The sequence below is a fragment of the Homo sapiens genome, chromosome 3, assembly GCF_000001405.40.
Source record: "Homo sapiens chromosome 3, GRCh38.p14 Primary Assembly".
NCBI classification, from domain to species: domain Eukaryota; kingdom Metazoa; phylum Chordata; class Mammalia; order Primates; family Hominidae; genus Homo; species Homo sapiens.
In genome coordinates this window covers 75,123,780-75,127,062 of record NC_000003.12, presented here as the reverse complement: position 1 = coordinate 75,127,062, position 3,283 = coordinate 75,123,780, and the positions used below count along the sequence as shown (strand labels likewise).

General features: G+C 42.1%; 3 annotated features.

Annotated features, from left to right (window-relative positions):
• Positions 978–1,551: an enhancer, noted in NCBI's record as "NANOG-H3K27ac-H3K4me1 hESC enhancer chr3:75174663-75175236 (GRCh37/hg19 assembly coordinates)". NCBI's record gives its function as "activates a minimal SCP1, AML or CMV promoter by ChIP-STARR-seq in primed H9 embryonic stem cells {active_cell/tissue: H9 hESC(primed)}" and the evidence as "EXISTENCE:reporter gene assay evidence [ECO:0000049][PMID:30033119]".
• Positions 978–1,571: a biological region, named in NCBI's record as "NANOG-H3K27ac-H3K4me1 hESC enhancer GRCh37_chr3:75174663-75175236".
• Positions 1,417–1,571: a silencer, noted in NCBI's record as "fragment chr3:75174643-75174797 (GRCh37/hg19 assembly coordinates)". NCBI's record gives its function as "represses an EF-1alpha promoter that drives an FKBP-Casp9 reporter gene in an ReSE screen in K562 erythroleukemia cells {active_cell/tissue: K562}" and the evidence as "EXISTENCE:reporter gene assay evidence [ECO:0000049][PMID:32094911]".

Genomic DNA, 3,283 nt, shown 5'->3' with positions numbered 1-3,283 from the left:
CTGTGGTAACAATGTCTTCCTTTGGAATACCTCCTGAAGGATCTGCCTAGGGTTGTTTTTCATTTAACTTTTTTTTTAAATAAATGGAGAGAAAACATTCTAAAATAACTCTATTAATCTAAATGCAATAGTATTTAAGATATAGTAAATACATAAACCAGAAACATAGTATCATTATTATTATCAAGTATTATGTACTGTACATAATTGTATGCAGTATACTTTTACAGGATTGGCAGTGCAGTGGATTTGTTTACAGCAGTATCACCACAAAGACATGATTAATGCACTGCACTAAGACATTGCAACAGCTACAGTGTCACTTGGCAATAGACATTTTTCAGTTCCATTATAATCTTGTGGGACAAGCATTGTATATGTGGTTCATCATTGAATGAAATGTAATTGTGTGATGCATGACTGTGTTAGCATAAAATAGAAACAAAATATTGTGTGTATTATTTATATATAAGGGGGATTCTATCATACACACTCAACTATATCTTGTTTTTATGTATTTATTATTTTACTTTCATTAACACTCTATCTAGGAAATCCATCCATTTTGGCCCCATTCTCTACCTGTGTTTCCTGACCTCATTGCACCATAGCTTATGCTTAACTTTGCATTACTGGGCATTGATATTATAACTCATTAGCCATCATTTCTTGCCACTTCATTACCAGCTGTTATTCAGCTATGAGTACAAATATCAGGGCAGACACTGTAGATATCCTTGAGCTGCTAGTGAGTGATTTTTCTGCTTCCAGTGTTTATTAAACTCCTATTGGAAATAAAAGTCTTATGGCAGGTTGAGAATAATCTTTTCCTTTTCTGGGCCTTTCCAACACATTGTTAGACTTGCTACGGGAAAAGCAGTCTCATTACACAAACCTGGACAAACATTCTGCCTAACAACACAGATATGTTGCTATGAAATGATTTACAAGTTCTGACCAATTTTTCAATCACTTTACATTGAAAACCACCTTCTATCACTCAAACCCTGACTTAATATAAATCTGAGAAGCTTTAGTGTAAATAAATTTCAAGTGTCTTATTGAAAGCAGCTTTTCCATTTACTTCTTTGAGTCAAGAATGACGTGAACCCACAGATAGAGTTCTACTCTTAAGAGGCTATCCGATTATTCTTTATGAAGCATTTTAAGAATATTTTTTAGGGGGAGGAGCCAAGATGGCCAAATAGGAACAGCTCTGGTCTACAGCTCCCAGCCTGAGCGACACAGAAGAAGGGTGATTTCTGCATTTCTTCCTGAGGTACTGGGTTCATCTCACTAGGGAGTGCCAGACAGTGGGCGCAGGTCAGTGGGTGCGCGCACCATGCGCAAGTCGAAGCAGGGCGAGGCATTGCCTCACCTGGGAAGCGCAAGGGGTCAGGGAGTTCCCTTTCCGAGTCAAAGAAAGGGGTGACGGATGCACCTGGAAAATCAGATCACTCCCACCCGAATATTGCGCTTTTCAGACCGGCTTAAAAAACGGCGCACCACGAGACTATATCCCACACCTGGCTCGGAGGGTCCTACGCCCACGGAATCTCGCTCACTGCAAGCCCAGCAGTCTGAGATCAAACTGCAAGGTGGCAGCAAGGCTGGGGGAGGGGCGCCCGCCATTGCCCAGGCTTGCTTAGGTAAACAAAGCAGCTGGGAAGCTCGAACTGGGTGGAGCCCACCACAGCTCAAGGAGGCCTGCCTGCCACTGTAGGCTCCACCTCTGGGGTCAGGGCACAGAAAAACAAAAAGACAGCAGTAACCTCTGCAGACTTAAATGTCCCTGTCTGACAGCTTTGAAGAGAGCAGTGGTTCTCCCAGCACGCAGCTGGAGATCTGAGAACCGGCAGACTGCCTCCTCAAGTGGGTCCCTGACCCCTGACCTCCGAGCAGCCTAACTGGGAGGCACCCTCCAGCAGGGGCACACTGACACCTCACAAGGCGGGGTATTCCAACAGACCTGCAGCTGAGGGTCCTGGCTGTTAGAAGGAAAACTAACAAACAGAAAGGACATCCACACCAAAAACCCATCTGTACATCACCATCATCAAAGACCAAAAGTAGATAAAACCACAAAGATGGGGAAAAAACAGAACAGAAAAACTGGAAACTCTAAAACGCAGAGCACCTCTCCTCCTCCAAAGGAATGCAGCTGCTCACCAGCAATGGAACAAAGCTGCATGGAGAATGACTTTGACGAGCTGAGAGAAGAAGGCTTCAGACGATCAAATTACTCTGAGCTATGGGAGGACATTCAAACCAAAGGCAAAGAAGTTGAAAACTTTGAAAAAAATTTAGAAGAATGTATAACTAGAATAACCAATACAGAGAAGTGCTTAAAGGAGCTGATGGAGCTGAAAACCAAGGCTAGAGAACTACATGAAGAATGCAGAAGCCTCAGGAGCTGATGCGATCAACTGGAAGAAAGGGTATCAGCAATAGAAGATGAAATGAATGAAATGAAGTGAGAAGGAAAGTTTAGAGAAAAAAGAGTAAAAAGAAATGAGTAAAGCCTCCAAGAAATATGGGACTATGTGAAAAGACCAAATCTACGTCTGATTGGTGTACCTGAAAGTGATGGGGAGAATGGAACCAAGTTGGAAAACACTCTGCAGGATATTATCCAGGAGAATTTCACCAATCTAGCAGGGCAGGCCAACGTTCAGATTCAGGAAATACAGAGAATGCCACAAAGGTACTCCTCGAGAAGAGCAACTCCAAGACACATAATTGTCAGATTCACCAAAGTTGAAATGAAGGAAAAAATGTTAAGGGCAGCCAGAGAGAAAGGTCGGGTTACCCTCAAAGGGAAGCCCATTAGACTAACAGCAGATCTCTCGGTTGAAACCCTACAAGCCAGAAGAGAGTGGGGGCCAATATTCAACATTCTTAAAGAAAAGAATTTTCAACCCAGAATTTCATATCCAGCCAAACTAAGCTTCATAAGTGAAGGAGAAATAAAATACTTTACAGACAAGCAAATGCTGAGAGATTTTGTCACCACCAGGCCTGGCCTAAAAGAGCTCCTGAAGGAAGTGCTAAACATGAAAAGGAAAAACCGGTACCAGCCGCTGCAAAATCATGCCAAAATGTAAAGACCATCGAGACTAGAAAGAAACTGCATCAACTAATGAGCAAAATAACCAGCTAACATCATAATGACAGGATCAAATTCACACATAAAACTATTAATTTTAAATGTAAATGGACTAAATGCTCCAATTAAAAGACACAGACTGGCAAATTGGATAAAGAGTCAAGACCCATCAGATTG